Below are 16,668 nucleotides of genomic sequence, written 5' to 3' on the forward strand. Positions count from 1 at the left end.
GCCTCCTGAGTAGCTGGGATGACAGGCATGTGCCACCACACCTGGCTAATTTTCGTATTTTTAGTAGAGATGGAGTATCACCATGTTAGCCAGGCTGGTCTCGAACTCCTGACGTCATGTGATCCACCCACTTCGGCCTCCCAAAGTGTTGGGATTACAGGCGCGAGCCACTGTACCTGGCCTAAAGCCCTGTTCTTTTTATTTGCGTAAGCTCACACCCTCTCAGCTTTGGTGTTTTCTATTGACTTAAGGAGGTTTCCTGACTCGCTTCTGGTCTCTCCTTGGGATGTTGCACAGGAAGAGCTCAGCTCTCTGTGGGTTCCTCCTTGCCCTGGAGGAAGCAATGATGTGATAGGATGGGAGGTTCCTGAGTCCTTCACAGAATTGTTTTTGGTAAACCTTGGCTGGAACATCTCAGCAATCTCAGAAGATTTGTCCCCGTTTTGTGAATAAAGACAGCAAGGGGCTGATATGGGCTTGGTTGCTACTGTAGTGAAAATCAAAGGACAAAGCTTATAATGATTCAATTGTGAGTTTGCCTGGGCTGTGTGCACTGACCCTCATCAATAAGAAGATGGAAGTTGACTCCTTGCTGTGAGCCTCAACTTCCTCATCTGTAAAAGGGGAACTTGTTTTGTGCAAGTGTGAGGATTAAATGAGATCATCAAAGCACAGTAGAACCTCAGCATGGTGGCTGTTGGCTATTAACAGTGATATTTATGGACCAGACCAGGCACTTTCCATCGATGACAGCTGCTTTGACAAAAACCCCACCAGGAGGGAACTATTATTCCCATCTTAACATTAGTAAACAGAGGCTCAGAGAGGATCTAAGTTTGGCCAAGATCTAAGGGTACAGCCAGGATTCAAACCCAGGCATTCTGGCCACAGAGCCTGGCCATTGTCCCTGCCCCTCACCCTGGGAACAGCTGAACAACAAGGAAACAAGTAACATCATAGCTCATGCCTGTCATCCCAGCACTTTGGGAGGCCAAGACGGGAGGATTGCTTTAGGACAGGAGTTAGAGACCAGCCTAGGCAACATAGTGAGACCCTATTTTTACAAAAAAAGAAAAAACACAAAAATTAGCAGGGTGTGGTGGCACATGCCTGTAGTCCCAGCTACTTGGGAGGCTGAAGCAGGAGGATCTCTCGAGCCCAGGAATTCAAGGCTGCAGTAAGTTATGCTCATGCCACTGCACTGCAGCCTGGGCAATAGAGGGAGACCCTGTCTCAATAAATAAATAAATAAGAGAAAAAAGAAAAGAAAAAAGAAAACAAGCAGCTTGGACAAGCTGCCTCCATGGATAAGAAGAGAGAAGCATTAAAACTGAAAGATCATTTGCAAAAGGCTGCAGCTTCTCCACAGGAAGCTGAGTCATCTCTCTTTGTTTTGAACCGTAACCATCACGTTGCCTCAGAATCTGAAAAATTAAAAAAGAACTAAAAAAATGCTGAGTTTCTTCATGGTGCAGAGGCCCTTCTTGTCTCCACACCAGAAGGAGCTGAGCAGAGGGGCCACAGCGATGGGACCCCCTCCAACCCACATTAAATACCTCCACCTGAATATTTATTGCAACGGCAAGAGCACTGCACCTGGAATCCGGTCTCACAGCCTTGGATTTGCCTTGCTAAGCCTCAGTCATCCAACCTGCCAGGCAGGTGCACCTGCCGCAGCCCTGCCTTCTCTGTGGAGCTGGTGCTCTCGGGGTGCACGAGTCAGGGTTGGGAGGATGCTTTCTCACCTGTACACCTGTGGATGGTACGATCACAACCCCAAATGCCTCCTCCCAGTACATTTGGCAGAATTCAGTCCAGAATCTGGGCCTTGGCCTAGCTCCTATAAACTCCCTCTCCTACAGATGGTGGGGTTCAGTAAGAGTTTGATGAAGAATGCAGGGGCTTTCTGTGCTTGTCTGGTATCACCCAGCTTCTGCCTTTTAAAATGCCTCATTCCTTATCTGTGTACTCAAACTCTGCCCCTTCTCCAAATCTCGGCTTGACTGACACCTTTTTCATGAGGCCCTCGCCCAGGTGACCACCCTGAGACCCTTACCGGTGAGTACTGTCTTCCTTATACTCACCTCTGTGTGTAAGCTGGGCTTCCTGTGAGGACAGGGGCAGTGTCCTGATCACACATTGCTCCAGCTTCTGGAATTATGACCTATGTGAAGTAGGGAGGAGGCAGAGGGAACAACAAAAAAAAAGTTTTTTCAGTGAATGAATAAATAAATGAGACTTGAAAGATTTTTACCTTTGTGTTTTCTCTCTGACAATCAATTATACCTTTCACTTATCTCTTGTTTCTGATGAACAAGTTTAACATTCAACAAGCAACATGGCTTCTTGCAACATCAACAAATGCCCATCATTTTCAAGGCCGCATAGTATTCCATTCTATGGAGAGCCATGATTTATCCAATCCTCTATCGATGGACTTTATTGTCATTTTCATCTTCTTATAAATAATGATGCAATAAATATCCTTGTCCACACGAATTTGAGCCTAGAAAGTTCTTTATCATCCTAAGCTTATATAAATATTCATGGACAATTTCCTCTTGCATGCTTACAGCTTTGTGTGTGTGTGTGTGTTTCTAAATCTTTGGTATGTCTGAAATTTTCATCCATCTTTGTATCGCGGTGCAAAATGCACCTCTCTTTTGCCTTGAGACGAGTGTCATGTGCCTTGGATCTATGGGTTGTGTGCACTTTCTATCTGGTGAGCACGCACTGTGTGTCAGGCCCCATGCTGGGAGCCAGGACCCAGAGATGAGCAAGACAGACGATCCTGACCATCAAGAAGCTCAGAGCCTAGAGAAGAACAATAAACACAGAAACAAAAGCCATCAAACACATGAACAGAAACGATTGGCTGCAGGAGTGTGCTATGGACAAAGTAACTCAGGTGCAGGTGAGATTAGAGGAGCTCTCTTTGGGGAAGAAGGAGATCTTTGAGCAGAGCTGGAAGGATGAGAAGCAGTCAGTTGTGTGAAGGTCAGGGGAAGAGCATTCCAGGCAGAGGGAACAGCATGAAAAAGGTACAGAGGCAGGGAAGCAAGACTTTTTTCCTTTCTGGAGCCTTTTGTAATCCCCCTTCCAGCCTCTCCCTCCTCCTGCAGACACGCTGGGCACCAGCCCCCTTTATCACATGACATTTGCTATTCCCAGGCCGTTCTCTCTGTCACTTACTTTAGTATTGTTACAAGTGTTCAGGAATAGGATGATTCCCCAGAGCGCTTCCTGCTTAGTCTGGATCCTCTCAGCTCTGTGGTGCTTCCTCAGCAGCCTTTGCTGCTACTGAAATGTCCAAAAAATTAAAATTAGTTTAATAGCACCTGGCATAGTACATGACACTTAATAGGTACTATTATCCCCATTTTACAGGTGAAGAAACTGAGGCTCAGGGAAGTTAGCCATTCCAGCAGGCAGAGCTAGGATTCGAACCCAGCTCTGTCTTATTTCAAAGTCTGCCTTCTTCATGGAGCCCTAGTTTAACTGCATTTGTGCGAAAGCTAATGAGAGACTGCTGGTTAATCCTTAGTGCCCGGGGCCAGCTTTATCCCAAGCCCGATCAAGGCTTGTGGTGGGTGACCTTGGCCTTTGGCCTGATGGCTTCAGAAGAGTGGAAAGGAACCAGGGGAGGTTCTTATTTTTTTGTTTTAAATTACAAATGTAATACACGCTTGTGGTAAAGAAAAAAAAAATGAAACAAGAAAGAAAAAAGCAGCCACTGAAAATATCTCCTCCTCCCTAGTGTAACTGCTATTAACAGCCTGGTATCTTTTATAGTGCATGTTCAAACACATACATATACACCGTTATTGTTTTTATAAAAATGGAACCATGTCCTTGACTTTTTCTTGCAGGCAGTTCCAAGTCAGTACCTACACACCTTCCTCATTCCATCAGATGTATTTCAGTGTATTCAACCAGACCCTGGCTTTCGACATTTAGCTGTCTCTAATTCTCTCTGTAACAAGCAACATCCTTGGGCATGCATCCATGCACTGAGTACAGGTATTTCTGCAGGATGGATGCTCAGAAGTCTAATTGCTGAATGAAAGGGCATGCAAGTTTCACACGTTGACAGGTGCTGCCAATTTGCCTTCCGAAGGCTCTTCCAGTGCAACACCCCTCCCAAGGCAGCGTGTGTGAGTGGGGAAGGCTCTTAAGCCACAAATGACGTGGAGCCGCGCTGTACTTAGGGGCTGCCTCCCCTTCTGCTCCCCGAGACCTGGCGTGGAGACCGCCACCAGGAGCTCCGAACACGCAGGCCCAAATTGGAATAGGAGATGGATTTTGATAAAAGAGGTTAAATAACAGGTTTTTCCATTTCACCTTATACGAATGGGATGGGGGGTGGGGGTGCTGGGCCTCCAGCCAATAGAGGACCAAGAGTTGTCAGGAGGGCTTATAAAGCTTGCTATTTCTGGCATTTTTTCCTCTTTCTCTGCTGATTATGCAGCAGACTCGCACAGAGGCTGTCGCGGGCGCGTTCTCTCGCTGCCTGGGCTTCTGTGGAATGAGACTCGGGCTCCTTCTACTTGCAAGACACTGGTGCATTGCAGGTGTGTTTCCGCAGAAGGTAAGCAGCGGGTGCCCACCGCCCCATGAGGTGGAGGTGGTCAGGCCGTCACTGTGGGCTGAAGATAGGTGATGTCTGGATGGGGGCAGGCAGGGACCTGGACTGGTGCTTGTCACATTCTGGAATGAAGATGCTTTAGAGGGGCCAGGAGGCCTGCAGTTGGCAGCTCCTTCTTGGAGAGGAATTCTGGAGGCGGTTTGGGCTGTCCTCTGGAGAGCAGGGTCAGGCTGTGGCCTTGGTGCCCAGGCTGCTCAGGATCATTCATTCATTCATTCATTCATTCAGCACACCCTGCAGTAGGCCTGGCCAGGTGTGGGTTGGGGGGTCTGGCTGATTCAGACTGGAAACAATGGGAGCAGTAATGGGGATGGCCCATGGCTTGGGAGGAGCCCAGAAGATACCTGGGCTGAAGAGTGACAGGGGCCTTCCAAGAAGGCAAGACGGGTGAGAAGCAGCTGAGGACGTCACCAGGAATACCCGAGCTGCCTCTTCCACTAGATTTTGGAGTTTGGGGAATCAATAAAAATTTCTTGCCAAATTTGGTGAATGCCACCTTTTCCGTTTGTGAAGTAAGGACATTAAAAAATAACCAGTTGGGATCTCTACGCAGCATACTTTCGTAGAAGAAAGGACAGCAACAAATGAGAAAGGAACTAAGGGGACTTAAGGGGACACACATGCCCTTAATAGGTGGCAGAGATTTCAAATGCAGAAACCTAACGTGAAGGGGCCATCCCAGCTGTGCCTGGGAGGCTATCTTGGTGATGGGAGTTGACTGGGTTGGGGGCGGGGCTTGTTGCTGTTGATGGTGCTGCACCCAGCAGACCAGGAGACCCGACCTCTTCTCGTGCTCTGATTTATCACAGCCATTGTTGAAATCTGGCTTCGTGCATGTGTGTCCCAGCAAAAGAAGGCTCCCGCTCAGGTCCGCTTTCCGTCATTTGGAACATCCTGGGTGAACTGGGAGAGACCAGGAAACACCAGCTTCTGTGCCTCCTGGGATGGTTTCTACCTTCTCCACTCTGGGTCTGAAAGCCTGCAGGAGGCAGTGGGCCCAGGTCTGCAAGGGAAGCCTGAGGAGCCAGCTGGACACAGAATGTAGCTATTGAGCACCTACTGTATACTGGGGTCTGGGTTAGGCACTGCTTACATATCTCAGCTCGGCCATAAATACAATCTGTGACATAGGGCAAGTTCCTTGAGCTTTCTGTCTCTTCATCCATAAAATGGGGACACTGATGCCTACTTTCTTGTGTTGTCATGATGGTGTGTGTGTATAAGCATTTACGTGTGTTCATGTGTATATGTATGCACACATGCACGTGTGCACACACTCACTGTGTAACACTTTGCCTGGTGTGTGGAAGGACCTCATTAATGAGGCATGAATGAATGAACAAATGACCTAGGATGTCGGCTCAGCTCATGAGGAGGGCGTGGCTCACAACGGCATGTGTTTGTGTGCATCTGCGTGTGTGATCCAGGGAGCTCTCTTCTTGTGCTTAAGAGTCAGAGGCTCTGGAATCTGTTTGGGGAGCTTGAAGGGAGGGCCATGTCTGTTTCACAGCCCTGGCTAATAGGAATTCTTTGTGTTTCTGGTCACTTCCATGGGTTCTTGACTGGGAGAGGAGTTCATGGCAAGGACTGACTGGCCATTTTGAAAGAGAACCAACCGATCCTTTTAGTGTTAACACTTCCTGAACAACTTACTGAATACCACTCATCAGCACTGTGTTGGTGGGGCCCTGGGAAAACAGCCAGCCAGTAAGCCAGCATTCAGATTGCTACCTGACGACCTGTTTGCTGAGAGCCCCTGGCTGGGAAGGAAGGTGCTGGAAGGAAAGGAGTCTTGGAAGGGAGAGAGTGGCTGAGAATTGCACCCTCACACATGCTCCCTGCCTGGAGAACAGAAGCTGAGCCAGGTTTAAGACCTTGTTTTAAGTCATGGCTCTGTTCCTTACTTGCTGTGTGACCTCAGCACAGCAACCTCTCTCAGCCAGAGCTTCCTTGCCTATAAAATGACATTGTTAGGAGGACTAAGTGGGATAAAATATGTAAAGCACATTGTTGGTGCTCAGTAAATAACGTGTTCTCCTGGGGAGGGAAGAGGCCCTGGAGAGCTTTTGCCTGAAACCAGGGTGTCTGTTGGCACACAGGGGCCCAAACACGGCAGGCACCTGCTGAATATTTATGGGAAGAATGAAGGTGTGCAGAAGTGGGAGGCCTGAGTTGCAGGGCTTTTCCTGCCATTAGTAATTGCTGTGTGATCTTGGGCCAGTTCTTCATCCCCTTTGGACCTTTGATTCCCTCAGAAGAAGAGTCCAGGCTGATGGCTTCAACCCCTGCTCTTCCACTGTGTTGGAAATCGGGTATGTGGGAGCCTCCAGAGCAGGATGAGCTTCATGTTTGAAATTAATTTCCTTTCCTCGGCCGGCGGCATCCCTGATGACTCTCCCCTGCTGCCTTGTGCATGAACAAACCGGTAATTAATGAAATTGGGAGCAGGGGCAGGGAGGTGAGGTTTCCAGTGGAGGCAGCTGGGGGTCTGCTGGGGCAGCCTCTGTGCCACCCACTGGGAGGCCCCGGGCCTGCTGGGGCAGCCTCTGTGTCGCCCACTGGGAGGCCCAGGGCTGCCCAGGAGCTGCCATCTCCGTCTAGCCAGGGGGCCTGGCAGATGTTCACACATCTGGACAGTTGCAAAGGGAGGCATGAAATATAGATGGGGAGATGGGGAGTGAATTCTCCAGCTTCTCCTGGGCCTGGGGAGCCATTTTCCAGGGAGGGCCTCGGGAACCTCCTGCTGTTGGGTGTTGAGATGAGCCTGGAGTAGCAATTGGGTGGACCTGGATTTTTAGCCTTTGGTCTCTTGACTTCTAGTTGTGAGGCTTGAGGCAGCTCACTTAACCTCCCTGGGTCTTCCTTGCTGTGAAGAGCAATTGAGGCCATGGGAGCAGCAGCCCCCTAGTCATGGGGGGATTGGTGTAGAAAGGCAGCTTTGATTTGCATGTCCTCACCCCAGGGGCTCATCTAGAAGGAAACAGTTACTCTCAATGGCCCTTTTCCTGATTCACACCCTCCGTCACCTCAAAATGCCCCTTCTACTTTGTGCCCACTTTTTATATATGACTGTCCACCCCTCGGCTTAGGCCACAAATGTGGGATCATCTTTGACCCCTTTCTCTGCCTTACTCCTTGCATCTAATCCAACTGCACTTGCTGCTGGCTGTACCTTCAGGGTGCAATGACTTCTCCCCGCTTCACTATTACTTGTCACCGGGATGACCGCAGGAGCCTCCTCCCAGGCCTCCCTGCCTCCACCCTTCCTCCTTAGTCTGTTCTTCTCGCAGCAGCCAGTGGGATCTCTGAGAACCACCTGATGCGCACATCCCTCCCTGCTTAAAGCCTGTGGTTGGTTGTCTTTTGTAATCAGCTGGATCTGTTCTGATACCTTTAATATACCCACCTGGGGGAGCTGGGCACCTGTCTGATCTCACTTTTTGCAGTCCACAAGCTAGCTTCTGCCTCCTGCAGAATCACTGTCCTGCCACCTCCTAAATCCGCTTCCCCACTGACCAAGCTATTGTGCCTCTTAATTTTACTTTCAGACCCCTTTGTCTGGAATGGTTCTTTTACCCCTTGGACTCCTGTTTATTCTCGCAGGTGTGGTCACGACATCCACGGCTTTCCAGAAGCCTTCTCTGATTGCCCCCACCGTCTAGCCGCAACTATCAGAGCCAGGGTCCCCTTCCCTGTGCCCGCTTCTGTCATTGTCCTCCCCATCAGTGCTGTGATGCTCTGGGAGGACATCACCCACGATGATGCACCTTTATTCTCACACGTGCTGCAAGGCCAGACAGCACAGAAATGTTAATTTAGGCAGTAGATGCAAAAGACCTCCCTGCAAATTAAGGGCCTTCAGACCTAGACAGACTGGAATAGGATCCTCAAACTGGTTTGATTTGGCTGTGACCTTGGACAAGCCACCTAGCCTCTCTGCTTTGGAGGGTCACGAGGATTGACGAGATGACATGTATAACAAACATCCTCCTCTTTCCCACTTGCTGGATTGTAAGTGTTCCCAAAGACACTTGGAATGTTTAACCCCTCACATCTGCTCTGAGCAGAGCAAACTCAACAATGCATAGACGAGCCCACCACAGAACCCCAAACAGGAGCAAAAATAGCAGCCATCGGGGCAACCTGAGATGCAGAAGCCACAGGAAGAAGCCGCAGGCCAAGCGGATGTCAGCGGCTCTGAGGCCCTGCTGAGGTTCCTCGGATGTGCTGAGCTCTGCAGCCCTCTCGCCTGCCCTCGCTGGCTCCCCAACCACAGCATCAGATAAGGCCGGTGGAAAAAGTGCTGGCTTCCTCTTTCTGGGGAGGGGTAATCTCAGTGCCATCTGTGGGGCACACTCCATCCCCAGTTGCCTCTCTGGCCTCCCCTCCCCCTCCCCACTGCTTGCTCTGCCTGTCTTTGCTGGTCTCTTTGCTGACCGAGGTCACACCTGCCGGCAGCTCCCATCTTAGGGCCTGTACACAGGCTGTCAGGCCCTGGAATGCTCTCCCCAACACATCTACTTGGCTCACTCCCTCACCTCCTTCCAGTCTTGGCTCCACTATCACTTCCTCAATGAGGCCCACCTTGACTGCTCTGTTTAAACGTGCATACCCTCCATCTCGACATTCCCAATACCCCTCACCTGCTCAACTCTTTCTTCTTTCCATATACCATGTAAGTCACTTATTGACTATGTGTATTGTTTTCTATCTCCAATGCAAGAGCGTAAACTCCAGGGGTCTTTGTTCACTGCTGTCTCCCAGGATCCCAGAATAGTGCCTGGCACAAAGTAGATGCACAGCAAATACTTTTTTGGTGCACGGACGCATGAGTACATGAGTAAGAACCAGCCCAGCAATCAGAAGAGGTTCAGGCTAGATTTTGGGGTGAGGGGGGTTTGTTTCTGGGCTCCAGGCCCCAGGGATGGGCTCACGTAGTCATTAAGGATTCTGGCCCCATGATTGACCTGCATTGGCCAGAAGCCCCTGCTGACCTTCAGGGCGATAGCTGTCTGGGGCCAGAGAAGGGTCTGGAAGCCTGTGGTCCCTTTCAGGAGGGACCCTTGCAGTAGTTAAGAGTTTGGCTTTGGAACCACATTGCTGTGGGTTTGAATCCCAGCTCCACCACTTCCTAGGTAGATAGCCTTCACGTCTACCTCTCTGTATTTGAGTTTTCTACCTTTAAAATAGAGTAGATAGGCCGGTGTGGTGGCTCACGCTTGTAATCCCAGCACTTTGGGAGGCTGAGGCGGGTGGATCACTTGAGTACCGGAGTTCAAGACCAGCCTGGCTAACATGGTGAAACCCCGTATCTACTAAAAATACAAAAAAATTAGCCGGGTATGGTGGCGCACACCTGTAATCCCAGCTACTCGGGAGGCTGAGGCAGGAGAATCACTCGAACCCAGGAGGCGGAGGTTGCAGTGAGCTGAGATCGTGCCATTGCAATCCAGCCTGGGCAACAAGAATGAAACTCCACCTCAAAACAAAACAAAAGTAGTGAATTCTGACCTTGCTTGGGTGGTGATTATGAGGGTTACATGCAATATAGATAAAGTGCCTGACTCATGGTAGATGATCAGCAAATGACCATTACTATTAAACTTATTATGTTTTTTTTTTTTTTTTTTTTTAGAGAAAGGGTCTTGCTCTGTCAACCAGGCTCTAGTGCAGTGGCATGATAATAGCTCACTGTAGCATCAAACTCCTGGGCTCAAGCACTCCTCCCATCTTAGCCTCCTGATTAGGACTACAGGTACATACCACCATGCCTGGCTAATTAAAAATAATTTTTTGTTTGTTTGTTTGTTTGTTTTTTTGAGGCCGAGTCTCGCTCTGTCGCCCAAGCTGGAGTGCAGTGGTGCGATCTTGGCTCACTGCAACCTCCACCTCCTGGGTTCAAGTGATTCTCCTGTCTCGCCCTCCCGAGTAGCTGGAACTACAGGCATGTGCCACCACACCCGGCTGATTTTTTTTTTAAAATTTTTAGTAGAGATGGGGTTTCACCATGTTAGCCAGGATGGTCTCGATCTCCTGACCTCGTGATCTGCCCGCCTTGGCCTCCCAAAGTGCTGGAATTACAGGCGTGAGCCACTGCGCCCAGCAGAAAAGTAATTTTTTTTTCTAAGAGACGGGGCCTTGCTATGTTGCTCAGGCTGGTGTCAAACTCCTAGTCTCAGCTATCTTCTCGCCCTGGCCCCCCAAAGCTCTGGAATTACAGGTGTGAGCCACTGCCCCTGGCCTAAACTTAACTGAGCATGTTAGGGTTATGCTGCCGTAACAACCCCCTGAATCTCAGTTGCTTATCATAAGGAAGGCTTATTTTTGCTCTTACTATGTGTTCCATGACAATCAGCAGAGAAGTAGGGGTTGGGCTCTGCTCCACAGATCACTCAGGGCTGTAGGTTGGTCAAGTCTCGACCATCTGGAACCTTGCTGGTCCTCTAGAGAAAGCCTGCAGATCTCAAGTTTGCTTTTTTATACTTCTACCCAGAGGAGACCCACGTTGTTTCTGCTCATAACCCATTGGTCTAAACTAGACGCATAGCTCCAATAAATGGTAAGGGGAGCCTGAGGTGTAGTGTCCTATGTGCCAGGAAGGAGAGGAGAGCCAGATATTGGAGAGCAGTAGTAAAGTCTACCACAGCAGGTACTTCCCTCTCTGCCCTCTCCAGACATATAGGCAGACTGAGACACAGTTAGTCGGTACTTACGGGACTCACTGTGGGTGGCTGAATAATGACCCCTAAGTATAGCTAGGTCCTAATCTTTGAAACCTGTGTATGTTACTTTAAATGGCAAAAGGGGCTCTGCAGATGTGATTAAGGGTCTTGGGATGGGGAGAGTATCATGGGTTGTCTGGGTGGGCCCTATAGGATCACAGTGGTCCTTATAAGTGAGGAGGGGTTGCAGAATCAGGAGAAGGTGATGTGAGGATGGAAGCAGAGACTGGGGTGACGGCTATGAAGATGGAGGAAGGGACCACAAGCTAAGGAACACAAGCAGCCACTAGACACAGGGAAAGGCAAGGAAATGGATTTTCTCCTAGAGCCTACAGACCAGCCAGCCCTGATGACACCTTGGTTTTAGCCCAGTGAGGCTGATTTTAGACTTCGGGCTTTCCAGAACTGTAAGAGAATATGTTGTTTTAAGTCACCTGTTTATGGTGATTTGTGACAACAGCCCTAGGAAACTAATATATCACCTTCAGTCAGAAAATCATTTGAGACCCAGTGCATAGAAGCCGCCTCTGTCTGCTCAGACAGAACTGACCCCTTCCTCCTGTCTGTTGTGGCGCCCCTTGTACCTGTCTGTCATCACGTTCATGCACAGGCAGAGGTGTCTCTTAACATAGTCCTTCCACTCCCAACCCGCATGCTCCAACATGTATGCCCACACTCTCAGCCACTCTTTGAGCCTCTCATTGCTTGGGCTGATCCGGGTTGGTGTGTGTCCACGTCTGTAGGAATGCAGGGCAGGCTGGTGGCAAGGTCAGTGTAAAGGACTTGTCTCTGGGGAAAGGGCCCTGGCATGCCCCAGGAGTGGCTCAGTTGGCGGGAGAGTAGAGGCCCTGTGGAAGATGGTGGGAGGGTGAAGGATGGGGCTGGAGAAATCAGCAGGGACCAGGTCAAGCAGGACCTTAGGACCAAGAGAAAGAGGTGGATCTTTGTTTTGAGGACAGAGAGGAGCCTAGTAGGATTTTGAGCAGGGGGGCGACTATGGATGACTGATGACTGGGTTCTCCTGGTTTGCGACTAGGTTAGAAGACTGTCTTTGTCCTCCCATCTTCTGGAAGTCAACTCTATGCCAGACACTCCTGAGCTATGCTTTTCACAGGATTTCTCATGCATCCATTTTATAGAGGAGAAAGCTGAGACTCAAAGAATGGAACCTCATGGAATCCATCCTCCACGTGGCTAGCTGAGTCATCTTTTAAACTATAAATTAAAGCATGTTACTCCCCTGCAAGAACTCTCCAAGGGCTTCCCATCTGGGATGAAATCCAAGTGCCTTATGGTGGCCCTAGGACCCCAAATCACGTCCTTGCCTCGCCCCTCTGCCTACTGTGTCCTGCCTGTTATTCCCCCTGCATGCGAGAGCTTCTACTTGTGGACCTCAGGGACTTTGCATTGCTGCTCCCTCTGCCTTAAATGCTCCCACCCACTACTTGTTGCCTGACAGCCTCCTTCTCTCTCTTCTGGGCTCCCTCAGTTTAATTGCTGCCTCTACAGAGAGACCCTGTCTCCACACTTCCTGTGTTTGCTGCACAGCACTTAGCACAATGCAACGTGTGACCACCTTTGTGTGTTTGCTTGTTTGTTGCCTGCCTCCTGCAGTGGACTCTGAGGCCTGCAGGGGCTGGGACTGTGTCTACCTTGCTTCTCGTTGTGTCCCAGCCCCCAGGAGCTGGTATGAAGGGGGCACTCAGCGAACAAACCTCTGCGGAAAGATGAAGGATGGGTCCTGTGTGCAGAGGGAGCTCTGGACCTTTGAGGGTGGCTGGAGGCTCCTGGACCTGCCTTGGAGGACAGACACCAGGCAGGGGCCAGCTGAGGAGGAGTGCCAGTGATTTCTCTGGGCACCTGGGCAGCCCCATTCCTATTGCACCTGGCCTTGACCCACTCCCTGTGCTGTCTACATTCTCTGTCACATTAAATGCTCTGCCTGCCATTTCAGCCTCTGGGAGGATCCACGAGGGTGTGGGGAGAGACGTCAGACCTGGGTTTGGATCCCAGCTCAGCCACTTAATAGCTATGAGACCTTGCACAATTCCCTTTAACTTTCCAAGCCTCAGTTTCTTCCTATGTAAAATGGGCATACAGAGGGACAGCCTTCTAGCACGTGACTCCTGGTGCTTGATTCGCTTGAAACTGCCTTATCTACAATCCAAAAAGCCCTGCGACGAGAAGTTGTTTTGTCAATATGCTGCAAACTCATTTGGCCCCCAAAATCTGACCTGAGCTGACGCGAGGCTCTTTGTAATCTTTACTCACCCCACTTGTGTGAATATTCATATGTTCCACTGCAGAAATATGAATGTGTTCCATTGCAGGTGTTGCCTGAGGCTCCACTGAAGCTATGGCATAATTTGCAGAATTTGCACTTCATTACTTTTCTGAAATTCAAACAAATTCTGAAACTGCACGAGTTCTGGCTGAGAGCTGTGGATCTGTGCATGTGAGTAGCTGCTGAAAACCCTCCTGGGTCACAGGAGGGCCCATGGGGGCCTCTGGCAGCCATCGCAGAGCCTGAAACCCGTTGTTTCCCCTTGGCTGGCTTCTGGTTTCTTGGCAGCCAGTGTCTTCTTAGCCACCTGGGGTTATGTTGGGTTTTGCTGGTTCAGGGGCAGGGGTTAAAGCTTAGGGCAGGGTGAGCCGAGGTACTCAGACATTTCTGATGTGAATTTAAAAGGAGAATTTTTTTTTAATGAATCATCAGAAGAAAGAAATCAGAAGGAAGTGTGTGACCAAGGAGAGGAAATTAGGGTTTGCAAATTGCATGAGTCACCCCCTTTCTGACTCCTGGGTGATCCCTTGCCCTTGGCACTTTTCACTCATCTCTGAGACTCTCAAGGCCGTATTCTGCATAACATGCTGGGGCTGTCATGGTTTTATTCTGGCTCCAAACCTGCTTCTCATTCTAGCCATCAGTATAAATTTCTAGTTTTGAATCACTGCCACGCTGTTTTACTTATTATTGTGTTAGCCAGTGTTTCTTCCCTGCCCAAGCCCTGCTCAGACTCCCGTTTCCCCATCTTAGTTAGCATCTACAACCCATTCTCCACCCAGAAGCCAGAGGCCAGTTTCTGAAGTGCAGCCCACATTCCGGGTTTCAGTCTCATCTCCCCAGTGTGGCCCTTGAAGCTCCCTTGTGATAAGGCCCTGCTTGCCTTTCTGTCTTATCTTGCACCGCCTTACTATTCCATGAATGGGCCCTTCCCTCCAGCTCCCAGGCTTTGGCAAATGCTGTTCCCACTGGCCTCTGCCCTCGCCTGGCTAGTTGTGTGCATGCTGCGGGTAGATCTGCTTAGAAGCCACCTCTTCCGTGAAGTCTTTTTACAAGGCCCTTGTCTAGGCCCCACGAACCTGGCTTCCCATCTACTTATCACCCACCCATATTCTGATTCCTGGTCCTGTCCCCTTCCCTAGACCATGAGCTCCGGGACAAAGACTGTGTGTCCACCAGGTGCAGTGGCTCAGGCCTGTAATCAGTCCTAGCACTTTGGGAGGCTGAGGTGGGTGGATCACCTGAGGTCAGGAGTTCGAGACCAGCCTGGCCAACATGATGAAACCCCATCTCTACTAAAGATACAAAAATTAGTTGGGCATGGTGGCGCATGCCTGTAATTCCAGCTACTCAGGAGGCTGAGGCAGGAGAATCGCTTGAACCCAGGAGGCCGAGGTTGCAGTGAGCTGAGATCATGCCACTGCACTCCAGCCTGGGTGAGAGTAAGGTTCTATCTTTAAAAAAAAAAAAAAAAAAAAAAGACTGTTTTCTGTATATCACTTTACCATCCCCAGCACTCAGAGTAAAAGGCTGTTTTAAGCAAGACTGTTTTAAGCCCTTGAGTGCTCGTCCCCTGCCTCTGGCTAGCTGTGTCTGCCTAAGAGTGGCCACCATATTGTCTTCCATTAGGCTGGAACCCGTTTCCCATGTCCGCAGTGGTGTGAAATATCCCAGTTGCATTGCAGTAAGTTTATTTTATGTGCATTTCCCCACTTGCCATTGAATCAGGTGTCCCTTTTTTCCCTTCCATATTTGTTTCTTAAGATATCGCCTCTTGTGTGACTTTTGTTTGAATCCCATGTCTTTTTGTCTGTTGGCATCTTGCTTTCTGTTTAATGTGACTGAGCCATTTCTACCTTGTATATATTAACTGTCTTATAGTTGGTGCTGATATTTTCTTAGTCTGATGTCCTTTTCATTTTGGTTTTATTATGTTTTCTTCCACAGAAGATATTAATGCATATATATTTGAATCTGTCAATCTCTCTTCCTCTGTGATTGCTTCGAGGGCTGAAGAAGTTATCCTGCTCCACAGATCTGATAAACATTCTGTTCTGTTTTCTGATTGTTTCCCTGTAACATGACTTTTTATGTTTAACTCTTTAATCCATTCGGAGTGCATGCATTTTGGTTGGTGTCTTGCAGTGGGTATCTAGTTCACTGTTCCTAAATAGGGACAGGATAACCCTCTTGTCCCCATTCTGTTTATTATATAATTAGCCCTTGTCTCTTTGTTTGCAAAAGGGGAGACAAAATATAGTAGCTGTTATAAGCGTGAGCTTTAGCAGAATTAAGATTTTGGCTTTGCCACTTTCTGTGTGAGCTATGAGCACGTTGCTTAAATTGGGCTTGTTTTTTCCTCTGTAAAACTGGATGATATCTTCCTCCTAGGACCGTTGTCAAGATTGAGCAGAAGATCATGTGCAAAGCACATCACATGTTACCTGGCATAAAGTAAATGCCCTCTTTTTTTTTTTTTTTTTTTTGGCTTAAACAAATATTTATTTTCTCACAGGGCTAGAGGTCAGAAGTATGAGATCAAGGTGTTGGCAGGGTTGATTCCATCTGAGGCCTCTGTATTAGTTTGTTCTTACACTTCTATAAAGACATACCTGAGACTGGGTAATTTATGAAGAGGTTTATTTGGCTCACGATTCTGTGAGCTGTACAAGCTTCTGCTTCTGGGGAGGTCTCAGAAAACTTACAACCGTGGCAGAAGGTGAAAGGGTGGCAGGTACACTTCACATGGCCAGCAGGAGAGACAGAGCAAGTGGGGAAGCGTTACACACTTTCAAACAACCAGATCTCATGAGAACTCACTATCACGAGAACAGCAAGGGGGATATCCGCCCCCAAGATCCAATTACCTCACCATGTCCCTCCTCCAAAATTGGGCATTACAATTCGACATGAGACTTGGGTGGGGACATAGAGCTAAATCATATCAGCCTCTCTCCTAGGCTTGCAGGTGGACAGCTTCCCCTTGTGTCTTTACGTGGTCTTCCCTCTGAAATGCC

General features: G+C 49.1%; 1 protein-coding gene across 12 annotated transcripts in view, besides 7 other annotated features; it reads left to right on the forward strand.

The window, feature by feature from the left end:
* Window positions 1-16,668, forward strand: part of TOX2 (TOX high mobility group box family member 2) — a 154,765-nt gene that overhangs the window by 26,599 nt on the left and 111,498 nt on the right. For 3 of the 12 annotated variants that reach the window (XM_047440560.1, XM_017028109.2, XM_047440562.1), the window contains exon 1: window positions 4,233-4,314. The exons of 4 other annotated variants lie outside the window; for them this stretch is intronic. Coding sequence is in view for 3 of the 8 variants with exons in the window: in XM_006723884.1 (XP_006723947.1) it covers window positions 4,463-4,588 (126 nt within the window). In the remaining 5 variants the exon portion in view is untranslated. Of the gene's footprint in view, window positions 1-4,232; window positions 4,315-4,445; window positions 4,589-13,697; window positions 13,823-16,668 lie in introns of those variants that run through there. 5 more of the 12 variants (XM_006723884.1, NM_001098798.2, XM_047440564.1 and 2 more) reach the window with 2 other exon arrangements.
* Window positions 1,174-1,674: an enhancer, noted in NCBI's record as "H3K27ac hESC enhancer chr20:42571264-42571764 (GRCh37/hg19 assembly coordinates)". NCBI's record gives its function as "activates a minimal SCP1, AML or CMV promoter by ChIP-STARR-seq in primed H9 embryonic stem cells {active_cell/tissue: H9 hESC(primed)}" and the evidence as "EXISTENCE:reporter gene assay evidence [ECO:0000049][PMID:30033119]".
* Window positions 1,174-1,725: a biological region, named in NCBI's record as "H3K27ac hESC enhancer GRCh37_chr20:42571264-42571764".
* Window positions 1,396-1,725: an enhancer, noted in NCBI's record as "active region_17917". NCBI's record gives its function as "activates an Ori minimal core promoter by ATAC-STARR-seq in GM12878 lymphoblastoid cells {active_cell/tissue: GM12878}" and the evidence as "EXISTENCE:reporter gene assay evidence [ECO:0000049][PMID:35858748]".
* Window positions 9,125-9,214: an enhancer, noted in NCBI's record as "active region_17918". NCBI's record gives its function as "activates an Ori minimal core promoter by ATAC-STARR-seq in GM12878 lymphoblastoid cells {active_cell/tissue: GM12878}" and the evidence as "EXISTENCE:reporter gene assay evidence [ECO:0000049][PMID:35858748]".
* Window positions 13,189-14,388: an enhancer, noted in NCBI's record as "P300/CBP strongly-dependent group 1 enhancer chr20:42583279-42584478 (GRCh37/hg19 assembly coordinates)". NCBI's record gives its function as "activates an origin of replication core promoter dependent on BRD2, BRD4, P300/CBP, MED14 and CDK7 cofactors, with strong dependence on P300/CBP, by STARR-seq in HCT116 cells {active_cell/tissue: HCT116}" and the evidence as "EXISTENCE:reporter gene assay evidence [ECO:0000049][PMID:35650434]".
* Window positions 14,000-14,049: an enhancer, noted in NCBI's record as "active region_17919". NCBI's record gives its function as "activates an Ori minimal core promoter by ATAC-STARR-seq in GM12878 lymphoblastoid cells {active_cell/tissue: GM12878}" and the evidence as "EXISTENCE:reporter gene assay evidence [ECO:0000049][PMID:35858748]".
* Window positions 14,522-15,156: an enhancer, noted in NCBI's record as "H3K27ac hESC enhancer chr20:42584612-42585246 (GRCh37/hg19 assembly coordinates)". NCBI's record gives its function as "activates a minimal SCP1, AML or CMV promoter by ChIP-STARR-seq in primed H9 embryonic stem cells {active_cell/tissue: H9 hESC(primed)}" and the evidence as "EXISTENCE:reporter gene assay evidence [ECO:0000049][PMID:30033119]".

The sequence above is a fragment of the Homo sapiens genome, chromosome 20 (assembly GCF_000001405.40).
Source record: "Homo sapiens chromosome 20, GRCh38.p14 Primary Assembly".
NCBI lineage: Eukaryota > Metazoa > Chordata > Mammalia > Primates > Hominidae > Homo > Homo sapiens.